Below are 18486 nucleotides of genomic sequence, written 5' to 3' on the forward strand. Positions count from 1 at the left end.
CAGAGGAGATGACATGAGAATTAGATATGAAAGGAGGAATAAGAGTTTTCCACAAGTTGATGGAGGTTATCTCAAGAGAAGGCAGAGTACCCGAAGAGTATGGTATAACCTGAGAAAACGGACAAATTAATGGCCTGGTGTATCTAAAGCTCAGGTTGCATAGAAGGTATTGGGAAGTGTGGTTGTAAAAGCACGCAGAATTCACGTGAATAGACATCTTGAATGTCCTCCTGAGGAGGAGATCATTGAAGAACACAGCCTGACACTGAGAATGAAGGAGTTCCCTTTCTTCAGAATTTCCCCAGCACACACCACACCTTCAGAAACCATATGTCATTTCCCAACACAAAAATGATCAGACTCAGGTTCCTCAAGGGTTGTTCTGCAAAATATGAATCACATAATTTATTTGCAATCCTCTATTATAGACATTCATGTTCATAGGATATAAATTATAACATAATAGAAATAAATGGAAAACCTAGGAATCACTGATTCTAAGAATGTCACTTAGCTAGAATGAAGGACATAAAAGAATGGAGGTTTGTACGTGACTTTACATGAATACAACGTGTCTCAGAGCTTCAGAAACTCAGTACAGGATGGCTGAACAAATTCCAATGCCAGAGCACTGTTCCCACTTTATTTCCGAAGATTATGATAGTGTTGTCCTGTTAAGGATACATGACTTCTGAAAAATCAATCTATTCTCTCTCAGGCTCTGTGCAGGAGGTAGTTTGTTCAGTCAAACATTGCATTGCTTTCCTAGGTTGTTTAAAAAATGGAAGAATAAGCCCTGTAACTTCCCAGTTGACCTTGCTCCAGACATCGTACTCACTGAGTTATTTCCTACGGTATCAGCTGACCTCTCCCATCTACCACTTTCATACCCACTTACCAGATAGCTAGAGATTCTGAAAACTCAGTTCTTAAACCAAAGTTATTTCTGTTTTATAAACAAAAACTGAACCACCTGTTCCTGGATTTGCTTGGTTTTGATCCCATAAATAATGGGATTCAGCATAGGTGGAGCCAGAATGCAGACATTAGCCAACGGGATGTGGATACAAGGTGGAATGTGGCGTCCAAACCTCTGGGTAAGGATTGTGAAGATGCCAGACCCATAAAAGAGGATGATGATGCAGACATGGGAGCCAAATGTGTTGAGAGCTTTGTGGCAAGCATCTGGAGAAGGCATGTGGAAGACAGCATGGAGAATCAGCATATAGGAAATAAAAATTAGTACAACATCTAAGACCACCGTCGACATTAGAATGGAAAACCCATACCAAATGTTTATTCGAATGTCATTACATGCATATTTGGCTAGGCCAATGTGTTCACAAAAGGTGTGTGGAATAATATTATTCTGGCAGAAAGTCAATCTTTTTAAAAGAAATATGATAGGGAAAATTGTACCATAACTTCTCAGAGAGACAGTCACACAAATTTTCTTGATCAGAGCATTTGTAAGAATGGTGGTGTACCTCAGTGGGTAGCATATGGCAATATAGTGGTCAAAGGCCATCACCAGCAAGATCCCTGACTCAGAGATGAAGGTGGAATGGATGAAGAAGAGCTGAGTGATGCAACGATCCAGGGAGATGTCCCCAGCACGGAACCAGAAGATAGCTAAGGCCTGAGGAATGGTGCACGTGGAGAGGACAATGTCTGCTCCAGCCAGCATGCAGAGGAAGAGGTACATGGGTTCATGGAGGCTGCGCTTTGTGAGGATAATGAAGATGAGCAGGCTGTTCCCAAGAAGGGCGGTGACATAGGAAATGAAGAATGGGATAGAAATCCACATGTGCTGGTCCTGTAGGCCAGGGATGCCCAGCAAGTGGAAGACTGTGTGGCTAGTGCCACTGTGGTTTACAGTAGGCATAGCTGGGGAGAACTTTCAGAACCTCACCTCCTACTCACAGAGGTAGAAGAAGATAAAATCTGCAACATTCTTTGCGATGTCACCAGGAGCTTATGGCATATTCCATAATCTTCGTCTTCTTTGAACATGTAAATAACAAACATGCAAATATGAAAGGTGGTGGTCTATACTCTAATGAATGACAGCCAGACAATATCTCCAAGTAATCAGAATAAGAGACATTATTGTATGCGCTTTAATTATGAATGGAGGATTATGAATATACAGAGGAAATTATTATTTCTGTGTGGGAAAGCTGAATAAGGTGATACTTAAAATTGAGTAGTTTATCGTAAAGTTAATAATGAAGAGAGAAAGAAAGTAGCATAAGAAAAGGTGAGTGTACAGATCAATGCACAGTATGTTTCTGAAATATTTTCAGGCCAGGGTGGCTGGTGCATAAGGAGTACTGAGGAGAACAAGGGAGGTGATGGTATAGGCAGGTTTTTCCTGAATGTGAAGGGCTTCGATCACAACTTCACTCTTAGGCCCCATCCTTTACACAGGGGCAGTCATTAGTTTAGAAAGATGATCTGTTGATATTTGTTGGAACGTTGATTGATTGAAGACACTAAAGCCTAAAAGGCCAGTGGTGTTCCAGGAGTGGACAAAATCTTATTGTATTACAGTCGCAGGAGAATTTAGCTAATGTTTATTAAGCATCACTTTATGCCACGGGCTGTAGTTTGCACTTTGTACGTTCTTAATGCAGGGAGTAGACATCCACTCTTAGAACTGGATAGTACCCCTATTTCACACTTAAGGAAAGTGAGTCTTAGACAATGTGAATAACTTGCCACTTGTCACAAAGCAGCAATTGATAGAAATGAGATTTGAAACCTCTGACTTCACCACATACAGTTTGCTCACTTATGAAGAGGGTCAAGGTACCTCTTTATCTGAGATGAGGCACTCTTTGTGCTCACACCCCAGGGAACTAGGCTTAGAAGTGACTGAAATTAGGTAAAGAGTTATTTCTGGGGGATGAAGAGGGGTTGCAGTTCTTGATATTTGAGAAATTCTTCTGCTGGTAGAAATGAACATGTAACTTCATCATTTACTTCCTAGAATATTCTTCTTCACTCATTAGTGGATTCATTCACAGGCATATTTTGAGCATTGACTATTTTTTCCTGCATCATGCTATGTGCCTGAGTCCTAAATAGCTTTATGGTTTCAGAGAATGGTGGGCTTGTGAGTAAATAGATTTACTAAATGTTCCATGTGGAATGGCTTCAGAGAGTGCCTTCTGAGAAGACAGCCATATTGAATCCCATTTTCAATGGAATGAAGAAATGGCAACAAATAATAAAATACACTCTTCATGGGGTTTCTGAGGATATTAAATAAAGGAATATCTTAAAATATTTAGTTGTTGGCTAAGATATATCTTATGATCAGTAATATTTTTTCTTCCATTCTAGTTCACACTCTTGGTGCATCCTCTTCTTTCTGGGGAGGATAATTGGCTCTTAGTTATTTTTCACACCTGCTAGGATGCCCTGGCTGCCTCCACAAAGCTCCTTCCAATGTGTGGCTTGGGGCAGGTGACTCAGTTCCCTGCCATTTTCAGGGCTCCTTTCATATTATGCCAAGAGTTGTTTGCAGCCTACATCAATATATTTTATGTTTTCTCATCTCTGGTCTAACTCTTAGGGTGCCTACTAGTTACTGGATTGCTTCTCTTTTCTTCCCTTCAGTAAATTCCATCTAGCCCACGTTCTCTCACCCTCCCTTCTCAGATCCTCATCTTTCACTTCCGCCATAAGTGGAGACTTGTGCCTCTGGTATATATATATATTTACCACATATTTCAACAGTCTCTAAGAGTCCTTTTACCTCTGGCCTGTATGATATAACACCAGCCTAGTTCTAACCTTATTTCTGAAGCCAGTACCACCCATAGATGTCTAATTCACTCACTGGCCTCAGACTGAGACTTCAGGAACAGAAACGAGCTCTGTGATAAAATTCAGCCTGATGAGGGCCAGGAGTTGGGCTGTTTATCTTCTTTCAGAAGAACCCTTGAGGGAAGCACTTATGCCGCACTCTCTAGGGAAAGAGCTATTTCCACCAGCCTTGCCCTCTTCCCAAGTGGGCTGAGTCTCTAAAACCACTTCCCACCTCCCTCCCTTCCTCCTGCTCCTTTTCTCTTTCGCTTTTCTCAAGATGCTCTGATACAAATCCTTTCCCACCTAATCTAGCCTTACAACAGCCTATTTAAACAAATGTTAAACCAATTTTTTAATAGGCATATAAAGTCTGATGATTAATATGTGTTGATGATTTATAAAGGTATGTTCTTCATGAAAAGTATAATGTTGAAGTTATACTGATCTCCCTGGCTTTCATAAGTTTTAGCTTTCACCGTCATGAATAATGATGCTTAACTCTGTTGCCTAAGATATATAAGTGTGCCTGCTTAATGGTTAGTAGAAAACATGTGAGTCGTGATTATTTTGGACACATTTGTATTTCACTGTTTGTCTTGACTGTTTAGTTTTTTTTTTGTTTTTACTTTTTCTTAATTTTCAGTTTGACTGTGATGTGCCAAGGCATAGCTTTCTTTGTTTTTATCCTCCTTGATGTTTGCTTAGCTTTTTGAATCTGTAAATATATGATTTTTATCTAATTTGGAAAATTTTAGTAATTATTTCTTAAAATTTTTTGTCCCATTCTCTCTCACATTTCACTTTGGGACCCAAAGCAAACTTTTTTTAGACCTTTTGATATTGTTTCACCAGTACCTGTGCCCTATTCATTTATTTTTCTGTTCTTTTTTCCTACTTCTTTAGTTGGGTAATTCTACTGATGCATCTCATATTTAATTATTAGGAAAGGACTACTTGGTCAAAGATAAATGCATTTGTAGATTTGTTAGATATTAAAGATATAACACCATCAGGGTTGTGCCAGTTTTTCATTGCCACCAGCAATTCATGAGCATGTCTTTTCCCTCCTGACCTTACCAGCAGGGTATGTTGTCAAGCTTTCGAATATTTGTCAGTTTGATAGTTTGGTTGAAGTGTGGTTGAGCATCCACAAAAATGGCCACTAACAATTCCTCCCTCTGCTGAACACATGTGCCAATCCTCCATCATGACATGTTGTTTAATACTCATCTCCTGGAATCTAGGATAGCCTTATGACTTGCTTTGACTAATAGAATAAGGTCAAAGTTATGCATATGAATTCTGGAGCATATGCTTTCAGAGGCCTTGTAACTTCCATTCTGCCCTCTTTTAGGCCACCAGCCATTTAAATAGCTTATGACAGACAAATAAATAAGAGACCATATGGTGAGAGATGCCATTGAGGGCAACTAAGGCACAGCAGCTGACAACCATAAAGGCAAGGATTTTGCTTTGTTTACTTATTTGCATTGTACACTTCAATTCTGCTTGGCATACTATAGGAACACAATAAATATTTATTGACTGAAAATATTACTGAATAAATAAACTGATACTATGAATGATAGAATTATGTGACATCAGTTGCTGGATGTAAATTTTAAGGTGCTTAGGTACCATAACGCCTGGAGATTCTCCAGCTAGAGACATCTGGTAGAGCTTTGGAATGTTTGAATGGTGTAGGACGATGCCAGGAGATACTATTTGGGGCCTATCCCATTGTTCAGTTGCAGAAAAGCCTTTCTTAAAAATTTCCAGCCGGGCTCAGTGGCTTACACCTGTAATCCCAGCACTTTGGGAGGCCGAGCGGGCAGATCACCTGAAGTCAGGAGTTCGAGACCAGCCTGACCAATATGATGAAACCCGTTTCTACTAAAAATACAAAAATTAGCCGGGCGTGGTGGCATGCACCTGTGATCCCAGCTACTCGGGAGGCTGAGACAGGAGAATCACTTGAACCTGGGAGGCAGAGGTTACAGTGAGCCGAGATGGCGCCATTGCACTCCAGCCTGGGCAACAAGAGCAAAACTCCATCTGAAAAAAAATTTTTTTTCACCTTTGGGCGGTAACTAAGGCAGTTAGGCATTTTGCTGTAGGTGACCTTTCCAGCAATATTTCCCATTTCATGTTTCACAACTGTTCTTCAAATACAGAACATAATTCATCATTTACCCTCCTTTTGTCATTCTCTGCTCTTCTACCTCTGAGTCCTTATTCTTGATTTTTCTGCCAGGAATCTCCTCCTTCTTTGACTGATTGGTGATGTGTACTTAGATCTCAAGAATCATCTGACATCTTAGCTCATTCATAGAGCATGTTGTAACCGTCCTTATACTAGGTAGTTTATGCTGATACTTTTTCTAATTAATTTTTAAAATTGACAAGTAGTTTTATACAATATGATTCTTTGATATACATATACATTGTGGAATGGCTGAATTAAGCTATTAATATATGCATTAGCTTACATAAATTTTTTTTGCAGTGAGAACACTTGAAATCTACTCTATTCCCATTTTTCAAATATATAATATATCATAATTATTGTACACCATGGTGTACACTAGATCTCTTGTACTTATTATCTCTAACTAAAATTTGTGTCTTTTGACCAACATCTCTCCAGTCTTTCCCACCCCACGGTCTCTAGTAACTACCATTACACTCTTTGCTTTTATGAGTTCAACATTTTTAGATTCTATGTGTAATGAGATCATGCCGTATTTGACTTTTGGTGCCTGCCTTATTTCACTTAACATAATGGCCTCCGGGTTCATCCAAGTTGTTGCCAATGACAGGATTTCCTTCCTTTATAAGGCCAAATAGTATTCCATTATGTACATATCCCACATTTTCACTATCCTTTCATATGCTGATGGTCACCTATGTTGATTTGATATCTTGGCTACTATGAATAATGCTGCAATAAACACGGGCATACCGATATATTTTTGAAATATCAGTTTTCTATCCTTTGAATATACACTCAGTGGTGAGATTATTGGATCATATGGTAGCTCTATTTTAAAATTTTCAGAAACCTCTATACTGTTTTCCATAATAGCTGTACTGTAATAATTTATATTTTGCCTACATTTATTTGTGACGGAATCTGGAAGACAGACAGACAACATTAGGAGTAGGAGAAGGCAAGTAACATGAGTTTCAAAGGAGTAGCAGCTTCTAAAAGAAAGTGAATGAGCATTAGTCTAGAACAAAGCCTGGAAAATGCTTTGCATTTGCAGTAAAAATGCTCCCCAAATGGGTGTACATCTTTAAAATATTAAGGGCTCCCATAGGTTCTAAATAAATGGCACCAAAGTGCTAATGGAGAAAAATACTTAATGAGGGAGCTTTGCTTTTTCATTTTTATTTATTTATTTTTTCACTCTGTACCATAAATTCCACAACGGCACCTGTCTTCACTCTTGTATATCAGTGTGCCTGGCACAGGGTAGGTTTCAAGTTGAAAAAATTTTGATTTCTCTGCAAAAAAGCTTTATAAATAATTATTAAAATATAAAAAATTTCTATCAATAATACCATACACAACGTAAAATGAAAACGTTGCCATAACAATTTTCTTTTTGTGAATATCAAATATTTAATTAGAATAACCCAGAACACCTACAAAAGTTCATATATAAGTATATTCATGACAGAATATTTTTAATAGAGAATAATGGAAGCTATATAAATGTTCAACGATAAGGGAAGGATGTAAACATATTGTGGTATGTCACCCATGTTAAATATTTAGTCACCCATTTTATCTCAAGAAATATGTATAGAGTACTATGTACGTGGCATTGTGCTATACTGGAGACAAATGCAGCTGTGTTAATGAAGCTATGTAGTGCTAAAAGTGTACTGTATTTGAGATTTCTGCTAAACAAGTAGATTTTAGCTACTCTTACCACAAAAACTAGCAAAAATTCAGTAACTATGTAAGCTAATAAATATGTTAATTTGCTTCACTTTAGTAACCATTTTACTATCTATCCTTATTCCATAACATCATGTTGTGTAACTTAGACATACACAATAAAATTTATTTCAAAAAGTAAGAACAACTTCTTGAAATGGGAAAGAATAAAGGAGCTATGTGGGTCATAGAACATTTATTTCCATGAAAAATTTCTATATTATGAAATTAAATAAAAGACCATGCTAAATATAAGACAACATAAAAATCAATAAATGGGGGGAAGCTTAGAAGGCTATCAGTGAAGATGTTCTATGCATTATAGAATCAAAGCATTAGTTCCATAGACAAAATGATATAAATACATTTTAAATGGGCTTGATTTTGTTTAGCATTCTACTATGGTGCTGTCAATATAGTTAGCACTTAACCCATATTGGTCGAATTGGTGGAGAATGAGTAAATGAATGCTTGAGAAAATCTATAGGATTTCAGCTCCTAAAGTGTTTCTGTGCCTTCTGGAAGTCAGGGTTGAAGAGGATGGTATGGAACGAGCTTTGGGGCCTTGCTGAAGGTCTCTAATCACATTCCCACTATCTGCCCTGACCTTCTCCCTCTGAAACCACTCTCTCACCAAATCCTCTCTCCTGGACTCATGGAGCCTCTCAAGCATGCTTTTCATGGTGGGCTCCCAGCATCCATGCAGTGAAAGAGTTAAGAGCTTTACAGTGATGTCACTGGAAGTAGAGGAACTCCTAGGGGAGAAGAAAGTCACGTGGATAGGACTATGCTCCCTGAAGATGCTGAGAGAAAGAATAGTTTGTCCTGCAGTTCCTCCTCCAGCTTGGTCCGCTGGTCACTGCACACAGTCTATGGTGTGGGGACACTCTGGGATCAAGACAGGGGCATGGCTCCAGTTGGCAACTCCTGATGACTGAGATGGGCTCTTTGGGGGTGAGGAGAGGTATAAGGTGGCACTGACAGCATAGCCTGGTGCTTCTGTGGGCCCTACCCATGGGCACGAACAGTGGGGTTTGACTGAGTGTAGGGATAAAGGAGGTGAGAGAAATATTGAGTTTATTGATGAGAAACAATGATGAATTGCCTTCATCATTTGGCCACTCTATAGAGGTCATATTTGGAATTCTCTATCCCGAGAACAGAGTCAGAGAGAGTGGACCAACATGTTACCACAGAAGATTTGTGGCCTCCTGGAAATACTATTGAAATGAGAGGCAAGAGGCTTGCTTCTAGACTTCCTTAACTCATTTCCTCTGTAACCTTGGGAAAATTGCCTTCTTTTCTGGGGCTCTTATAGTTAGTTACGTGACAAGATTATTCTAAAGAAGGAGTTGGGAAACATTTTTGGTAAAGGCCTAGAGTAAATACTTTAGGCTTCAGAAATGGTCTCCACAAGAGCTCTCACAGATGATATGTAAACAAATGGGAATGGTTGTGTTCCAATAAAACTTTATTTACAAAAGCAGGTAATGGGCAGGAATTGGCCCATAGGCTGAAGTTTGATGATCCCTGGAATTAAGTCCCAGCCCATATATTTTATGTCTCTCGCTCAAGGTTAGGAGGTTCAAGAGTGAAACTGGGGAAGCTCAGGGGTGTTGTCCTGTGAATTGTGTTTCTGTGACAGTCCCCTCTTCTGGCATAGGCTAGGGATTTTAAGACTGGAGGCAGGGGTAAGAGGGAGTCAAAATGAGATGACTTAGATAAGTCATAAATTCTCCGTGTGGGAGTGAGTTTGGTTAGTTAATGACTATGTGTGAATTTGTGAGGGTACATATATGCAGGAAATGTTAAAAGCATGCGTATGTGAAGTGTCAGAGTGAAGGGCTGTTTGTGTAAACTGTAAAAATGTCCGTATGTAAATCTTCATTAAAATTTGTGAGAGTGAATATGTGGGATGGTGAGTGTATGAATGAACATGTGTGAAATATGCACCTGAATGGAAGAGTGTGTGTGTGTGTGTGTGTGTGTGTATTTTCAGCTGGCAGAGCTGGAATTTGACCCAGGTAGGTCTGATTTGAAAGCTCTTATTTTTCCTATGTTCACTGTCTTACATGTTTTAGAAGTTGTGGCATAAATAGGAGAATTGGAGCAGAGTGGGGTGGAAGCCCAAGAAAGGCGGTTTAGGTAATCAATATAACAAAATGGAAGTTTTAAATACTGATGGGAGCTTTGCTAGCTACTAACAAGTTGTTTGACTTTGGGCAAATTATCTGTCAGTTTCTTTGTGAATAAACTAGTGATAATTTCAATTTCACAGATTTGATGTGAAGATTAGAAATAATAATTATATATGATATGCAGTAGGTATTTAATGGTTGCTATTATAAAGCTAGGAAGTATTAGTAACAGAAATTGAAGATTATGAATGATAAGAAATGAAAAGTGACATTAGATTGGGCAATAGTCATGTGACAGATCATGACTATTTAGAGAAAGAAACTTTTGTGGCATGTTGGGGCTATCAGTACCATGGCAGTGGGTGAAGATCAAGAGGGAGGTGAGAGGATTACTGAAGAGAGAGCACATCCTTCCTTTTGTGACACTGAGGTGAAGGGGAGACAGGACACCCGAACATATTTGCTCAGTAAGAACGAGGAACAAAGAGAGAGGGAGAGGTTAAAATTACTGGAGAGAGACCAACTAATGGGGAGAGGTACTCAGAAAAAAAGAAGGGTTGGGCGTCAGTGCACAGATGGAGGGCTTAGCCTCCAGCAGGAGGAAGAGGAAAAGGACAACTTGAGTACAAATAAATTTGTAGGTGGCAGAGTAAAGGCGGTGGAATTTAAGGGAATTTATAACTGCCGACTTTGTTTTTCTCCTTGAACCAGCAGTCAGGAAATCACCATCACCCGATGAATGGGATCGAGTGGCATAGGGCAGACATGAAGTGATTAAAACCTGGTCTGGAAAGGCAAATTCCAGCTCCATCATTTGCTAGCCCAGCGACCTTGGGTAGGGGTGCTACTTAAATTCTCAGAGCTCTGTGTGCTCCCCTATCAGCAAAACGGGGGAAATGACAACAGTTATCTCAGGCTGCGGTGACTGTAATAATGCACATAAAGCCTGCAGCACAGTACCCCTCCTAAATGATCCCTGTCTCATTCTCCAGTCTCCTCCGTTCCCCATCCATCTTACACAATACTGCCGGAGAGAAAGCTACCTAAAATGTAAATTTACCATGCCATTCTCTCACTACAGATCCTTCAGTGACTCTCACTACTTCAACATCAATCTAAAGCCCTTAGAGTAGGACTCAAATCTCTCAATGATTTGGCCCCTACTTCAGTCCCTTGTATTATTTTCTACAATTTTATTATCCCTCTCATGTCCTCTTTGCACTAACCCTGCATCATTATAATTTTCCTCCAAACCCTATGTCTTTTCAGATCTCTATGACTTCATTCAAGTTCTTCCCTCATCATGTTTCTTTACTTGGCGAACTCTTATTTATTCTTCAAGGCAGCACTCTAGCAAGTCTTTTCCGAATGCCTAGGGAGTTCTTCCTCTTTCCACAGCTCCCTGTGCTTAGCTTTTCTTCTACAGTGTGCATATTAGATAGGTAGCCATGTTGCTTGATTGTCTGACTGTCCCAAGTAGGTCTTCAAGAAACCATGCCTGGCACGTACTCAGTAAGGCGTATTAAATTGATAGGTAACTCAGTTGCCACTTTCCTTTTGAGATTCACATCACATTCTGGTGTTCAAAGTGGAAATTGAAGTGCTTGTTATTCGCAGCTTGTAAGCATTTACAACAACCTGAGACTGAGATCTATGGAATTCTAGAGCCAAAAATTTCTCTTTTACGAATAATGTAATCCATTCTGTCCCTAACTTTAGTTTTAAGGTGATAAAAGAGACATCCAGAACAGGGAAGTAATTTTATTGAGATCACATAGTTCATGAATAGAATGGCAAAGAATTTTAGACCACATCCCCTGACTTCTTCAACAGGACCCTTTTCACTGCTCCATCCAGTGAAAAATAATCTGTTCCCTCCTTCCCTACTCCAACCCCATTCAGCTTCTTGGGAAGAGAGAAGAGGTAACTGCCAAATCCTACATACCAATGCTCAGGTGACCTTCCCTGGGCATGACAACCCACAACTCCACTGGTAGCAGCCACTCACTCTTCATTCTGCTGAGCATTCCTGGCTTAGAAGACCAGCACACATGGATGTCTCTCCCCTTCTTTATTTCCTACCTTGTTGCTTTCCTTGGGAACAGCCTCATCATCTTCATCATCATCACTGAATGCAGCCTCCACGAACCCATGTACCTTTTCCTCTGCATGCTGGCTGTGGCTGACCTTATCCTGTCTACTACCACTGTGCCCAAGGCCCTAGCCATATTTTGGTTCTATGCTGGAGCAATATCCCTTGGTGGCTGTGTTACCCAAATCTTCTTTATCCATGCTACCTTCATCGAGGAATCAGGAATTCTGTTGGCGATGGCACTTGACCGCTATGTGGCCATCTGTGATCCACTGCACTATACCACAGTGCTCAGTCGTGCAAAAATCACAAAGATTGGCTTGGCTGTGGTCCTGAGAAGCTTCTGTGTGATCATGCCAGATGTGTTTCTGGTAAAGCGGCTGCCTTTCTGCCATAGCAATCTGCTGCCACATACCTACTGTGAGCACATGGCTGTTGCCAAGTTTGCTTGTGCTGATATTCATGTCAATGTTTGGTATGGCTTGTCTGTCCTTCTCTATACTGTAGTGCTAGATGCCTTGCTTATCTTAGTGTCCTATAGCTTCATCCTGTATACAGGCTTCCACCTCCCCTCCCCAAGGAGCTCGGCAAAAGGCTCTGGGCACATGTGGCTCCCACCTCAGAGTCATTTCCATGTTCTACTTGCCTGGTATTTTTACCATAATTACCCAGCGGTTTGGGCACCATGTTCCTCTCCATACACACATTCTGCTGGCTAATGTCTGCGTGTTGGCTCCTCCCATGCTGAACCCCATCATTTATGGGATCAACACCAGGCAGATTCAAGAGTGTGTGCTCAGTCTTTTGTCCTCACAGAGGAAATGATGCTAGATTTGACTAATCTGATAGTATGTTTATCACTATAGGGCTTTGCTTTTTTTTTTTTTTTTTTTTTTTTTTTTTTTTTTTTTTGCCTACTTTGCAGAGACCTACGAATTAAGATTCCACTGACTATGGATAAAGTGACTGATCATGACTTTGAAAATCAGATTGTCATGTGACCTTGAAAAGTATAGTGTTTAGGGAAGAACATAAGCTTTGGATCAGGATTAGGTTTGAATCCTGGCTTCCTTTATAACAGTGTGTTTGACCTTGGGTAAGTTACTTATTCTCTTAGAGACTCTTCCTGGCACATCCTTAGGGTGCCAGAAAAAGGACTATCAAAACAGAAATAACCAAATTAAACCATAAGAAAACTTTACTTACTAGGGCATTACAGTTAAAACACTTAGATAGACTCTATCTTCATGTAATTAAGATTACATTAAGATTACTCTATCTTAATGTAATGTAATGTAATCAAATGATATATTTGATATCATTTGAAATATATTATTTTAAATTAGATATGGGAGGATATCATAATCATTGCATTTCTTGATTGTCTTGATTGTACATTTATCATAGGCCTATGATAAAAATAAATAAAATAAAGTATGAACAGGACCTTGAATATACATGAGACAAAATAAGCAGTGGATACATTTTAAATTTTCTTTCTTTTCTGCTTTACTGACTTTATCTTTAAAATTGTAGTATAATATCTGTTTTTCCTAATTCAAAAGGAAGTTGTAGAATCAAAAGAGATTAGAAAATTCAACTAGTTTGTTTGAATTTTAAAGGGCAATATTAATGAGAATTAGAATTAGTGCTGATAGAGTCTTTCCTCATTTCTCAGGAGAACTTTTATGTGACATGCAAAGGTATACCTGGATTACTTGTTAGTGACTATTGGTGGGGGTAAAAGTTGAGATTCTATGAAATCTCTACTACTTGGTTTATTTTGGTGGAGACCAAGGGAAGTATATCATCTATATAATGTATATCTCCAAGTATAAAGGTAACCTGATATCCCAAGGTATTCAGATTTTGAGAACTGAGATTATTTAGGTTGATATCATTCTGACAGTCTCCTCTCATCAGTATATCAATGAAAGGGAGCAAACCATCATTTATACTGGTTAGCTCGAAGGCAGAAACATAGAGAAGCAGAAAAGCTGATTTTATAATCTACCCTTCTTTTTCTTCATATTTCTCCATGAACCTAGCAAATACAAGCCCACCATTCCCCAGTACATCTCATTTGCATAAGCATGAATTCTCTTCCATATTCCTGCTCCAGTTTATTACCCAAGGAACTGGTCGACTTTGTCATTTATCTTGATTTAGTTGTCATCTGAGGATTTAAGACCTGGGTCTTTTCTGTTCTTTTTATCTTTTCTTCATAGGATTCTTTTCTGTCCTATGTTAAAAGATAGACCATTACTCATCCTTAGAAGCAACTCTTTGATCAATAAAGTCTTTTCAAAGTCACTGACTTCTTTGTACAGTAACTAAATTTTTCATGAAATATTTAGTGGAAATGGTGCTGAGGGCAACCTGAGATTCTATTTTAGATAAGGAATCAGAGTTCCTGGAATGCTAGGGCTCTCTCACAGTCTACTGTGATTCAAGTTTAGAGCTTTATTGTTCCAACCTTAAAAACTTAAAGTATGCTGTCACCAGGTGATGCTGTTACCTCAGTCCTGGCTTTCATATCAATCAGGGTTCAACTGGAGAAGCAGAAAGAGTAGTAGATATATATTAAGAGATTTATTGCAAGGAATTCACTTGCACAACTGTGGGGGCTGGGAAAGCAAGTCGTATATCCATAGGGCAGGCAGATGGAAGGTAGGCTGGAACTCTCAGGCATGAGTTAAAGCTGTTATTCATAGGTGGAATATAATCTTCAGGGAAGCTTCAGTTCTGCTTTTAAGGCCTGATTGAATTAGGCCCACCCAGATTACATAGGATAATCTCCTTTACTTAAAGTCAAATAATTATGCACTTCAATCATATCTACAAAATACCTTCACAGCAACATCTAGGTTAGTTTGAATAACTAGGGGCTTATAGCTAGCCACCAAGGTGGCATATCAAAAGACCACCACACCTATTTAGATTGATATTCCTAACCCCATGTTCTCTTCTAGGAGTTGTATGGTTTCAGGTCTTAGATTTAAGTCTCAACTCATTTTGAGCAAAAATTCTTGAAGAACTTTTTAACTTTCTTGTGCACACCATCTCAGGCAAGGTGTCTCCAAAGTTTACTCCATACATTTTTACTAAGCATCTGCTAAATTCAGATGAATCTCCAACAAATAATTGAATACTATGGTAATTAATATAATCTATTTAAATATTAAAATATAAATCCCACAACATTAAGGTAGTTGCAAACATCTCTAAACTCCCTCACCCCTGCTTCTAGTTCCATATCATTATGTCCTCTTTGGAAAGAATAAGGGGATGCCCTTTCCTTCACCTTTAGGGATACAAGGAGAATGTTGATGAATATCATGTGGCAAGTATGGGGGATGTTGAGTGAAAACACATGGATGAGAAGAAGAAGATATAAGGGTCAAGTAACCAGTGAGATCTTCCATAGACTTTGGATTAAAATATAGTTGCAATCTGAGCTGTAAGACTTTAGTTCATCTCTGCTTGGGAAGTGTTAGTTTAGTTAGGAACTTAGACAGGAAGATACAAGATGGGGCTCCTGGGGAAAGGAAGTAAGAATAGACTGTTGGGCCAACAGGAAAACTTCCCAATGTAGGGGAGAAGACTGGCGTGTAGGGCCTTCCACAATCTACCACAAGCGCATATGGAGCTGACATCTCCCATGTCATTATCTCTTGGGTACCTAAGGTTGGGTGTGGTGGCTGTCAGCACAGCACAGACTCCTAAGCAGTGAGGAATTATAGAAATGACACTCACATTTTAGCAGAATTCAGGCCCCTCCCATAATCCTAATCTTGTGGCCTTTCTTTAGGTTTTGGACCCTGAGCAAGGAGGGGGTTAGTTTTAAGAAAGGACTATTATCATCCTTGCTTCCAAGTTAAACTAGAAACTAAATTCCTCCCATGTTTAGCTTGACCTATGCCCAGGAATGAATGAAGACAGCCATCCTGTGAGGCTAGAAGCAAGTCGGAGTCAGCCACATTAGATTTCTCTGTCATAATCTTTACAAAGGTGAGTTTTCTTCAATTTTTTAGATTCAGGGATATATGTGCAAGTTTGTTACCTGGGTATACTGCATGATACTGAGGTTTGGGTATGAATGATCCTGTCACCCTGGTACTGAGCATAGTACCCAGCAGTTAGTTTTTCAACTTTTGCTCTCCTCCCTTCCTCCCTCGTCTAGTAGACCCCACTTTGTTGCCATCTTTATGTCCATGAGTACCCTGTGTTTGGCTCCCACTTATAAGAGAGAACATGTGGTATTTGGTTTTCTCTTCCTGCATTAGTTTGCTAGGATAAAGGCGATTTCAAAAATTTATTTGCATTTTGTTTTAACATAGTTATGACCCACCTTCTGAAATTATACAATTTGGTGTAACTGTCTTCACTGAATATGTCATGGGCATCTCCCCCATGTTATTAATAATTTTATTTTGAAATGGCTGTGTAGTCTTCCATTGACTAGATGGACAGTAGTGCTAATTGTTGATCACTAATGCTATAACCAATTTTCACTGTTATTCATTGAAGAATATCTTTATGCATAGGGCTATTTCCCAATGTCAAGTTATTTCCTTAGGATAGATTCCCAGAGGTGGGATTATTAAATTAAATAATATGGAAATCTCTGAGGCCTTTATTACATATTGACAAAATGATTCCAGAAATGTTTGCATCCATTTACATCACAACCAGCAAGGATAAATGTGTCCATCTTGCCAGTATTGAGTATTATCATCTGACTAAATATTTGCTAATGTGATAATGAAAGAGTAGTGACCCACACTCCCCTGGGCAGGCACTAACTCCCTCTAGCTCCTTCCACACCTTAACCTCCCCACCTGCGGTCCCTCACCAGGCTTGGACAATTCCTGCAAGAGACTTAGGGAGACCAGCTCCACAGGCTTCTATGCTTTGACCTTTACCCCCATGGTGGGACCTTGACAGGATCTACTGGTAGCCCTCTGAGATCTAGGTCAAAGTTGAGGCCAAGAACAAGGTGGGTTGAGAGCCAGGGATGTGTCATGTGCGCATGCACGTGTCTGTGTGTGTGTTGGGGAGTAGTTCAAAGGAAGAGGGGTTAGGGTGGGTGGAATGAGGCAGAATCATCCAGGGCTGAGAAGTCTAAATCTGGAAGGAAAGGGATGGGAACAGGGAGAATGGCTTTTTCTGTCAGAGAGAGCCGAGGGGGAAGTGGCAACAATGAGAGATGCTCTGAGTTTGAAAGAAGGTAGGAGAAGAAAGTTGCCACGACCCACTTATGGGGACACTCTAGAGGGAGTCTATGTCTCATCCTTTACTTCGACACCTGAGACCACCCCCACGCTCCTGGATCTGTCTGCAGAAGCTGTCAGATGCTGGGCCCTTCCCTTCCCAGAGACGCATCTTTGACCCTGCTACAGCTCCTGCTCCTCTTCTGTCTGTCTGTCTTCCCATCCCAAAGCCCCAGCCCTGGGGCACAGGCCTGAGCTGCACATGTTAGAGAGGGCTTGTTAGTGGCTGTGTCCAGGAACTTAGACAGCTCCTTTGTTTGGCTTTCTTTCCATATCCTTTCAACCTCTTCTTTCCTCGTCCAAACCATTCAAGTAGGAGGCGTGGGGCCCGGGGCAGGAGTTTTAGGGGAGGTAGCCTGGTCATAGAGACAGGAAGAAGATGAAGCCATGCTTCACTTACTCTTTGCTGCTGTGTTCTCTTCTTACCTCCACACAAAGTCTCTCCTCACCTTGCCTGAAAGGATACCTCATCGTCTGCAGTGGAAGCTTCTGGAAGACAAGATGGTCCCTTTCTTCCTAATACTCATGGCCTCACCTGCCGAATGTGAGCACATGCTGACACAGACACACATTTCTTCAGGCTCCAAATCCCTTCCTCATGATTGGGGATGTGGTCACACCCACAGCACACACCCCCTTTTTCTTTATCCCTTAGCGGATGTAACATTTACTCTTCTGGAAAAGTCCGAAAACTTTGCCCAAGAAAGGTGCATTCCAGAGAGAAATAACATTAAAACTGGATATTCCAAGGGGCACAGGAATTGGCCAGTTGTCTAGAACACTGAAAGCATAGGGAAGCCCCAGAGAGCTCCAAGAACTTTGATGTTGTCACTCGTCACTTACTGAGAACATGGACAGAAGGTGCTTCAGGTCTGTGAGGGTCAGAGATGCAGAGGTCACAGAGCTACTCCAGCCCCAGGAGAACTTTGTATTTCAAAAGCAGGTGTTCCCTCATGGTAAGGAGGTAATATCCCCTCGGACAGCGATCAGAGCCCAAATGGCCTTCTATCACCACAGCGGCTATGATGGGGAAGGCAATGATGGGGAAGTACAGAAGACTTGACTTGACCTGGGTCTTCAGTCCAAGATCAAACATTTCAAATGGGACAGTCTAGGCATGAAAAGCACGTGCAGTGTTAAAGACACATCACTATTAATCATATTCAGAGTTCTCAAGTATTTCAGGATTAAGGAACAAGGACTGAATGGGATAGACGGAGG

General features: G+C 40.1%; 1 protein-coding gene and 1 pseudogene across 1 annotated transcript; one reads left to right on the top strand and one right to left on the bottom strand.

The window, feature by feature from the left end:
* Positions 1 to 852: 852 nt before the first annotated feature.
* Positions 853 to 1976, bottom strand: OR52B4 (olfactory receptor family 52 subfamily B member 4). The gene has a single exon (NM_001005161.3). The coding sequence runs from the start codon at positions 1883 to 1885 to the stop codon at positions 941 to 943; it is 945 nt and encodes a 314-aa protein (NP_001005161.2). The 5' UTR covers positions 1886 to 1976; the 3' UTR covers positions 853 to 940.
* Positions 11872 to 12814, top strand: OR52B3P (olfactory receptor family 52 subfamily B member 3 pseudogene; annotated as a pseudogene).

The sequence above is a fragment of the Homo sapiens genome, chromosome 11 (assembly GCF_000001405.40).
Source record: "Homo sapiens chromosome 11, GRCh38.p14 Primary Assembly".
Taxonomy (NCBI): Eukaryota; Metazoa; Chordata; class Mammalia; order Primates; family Hominidae; genus Homo; species Homo sapiens.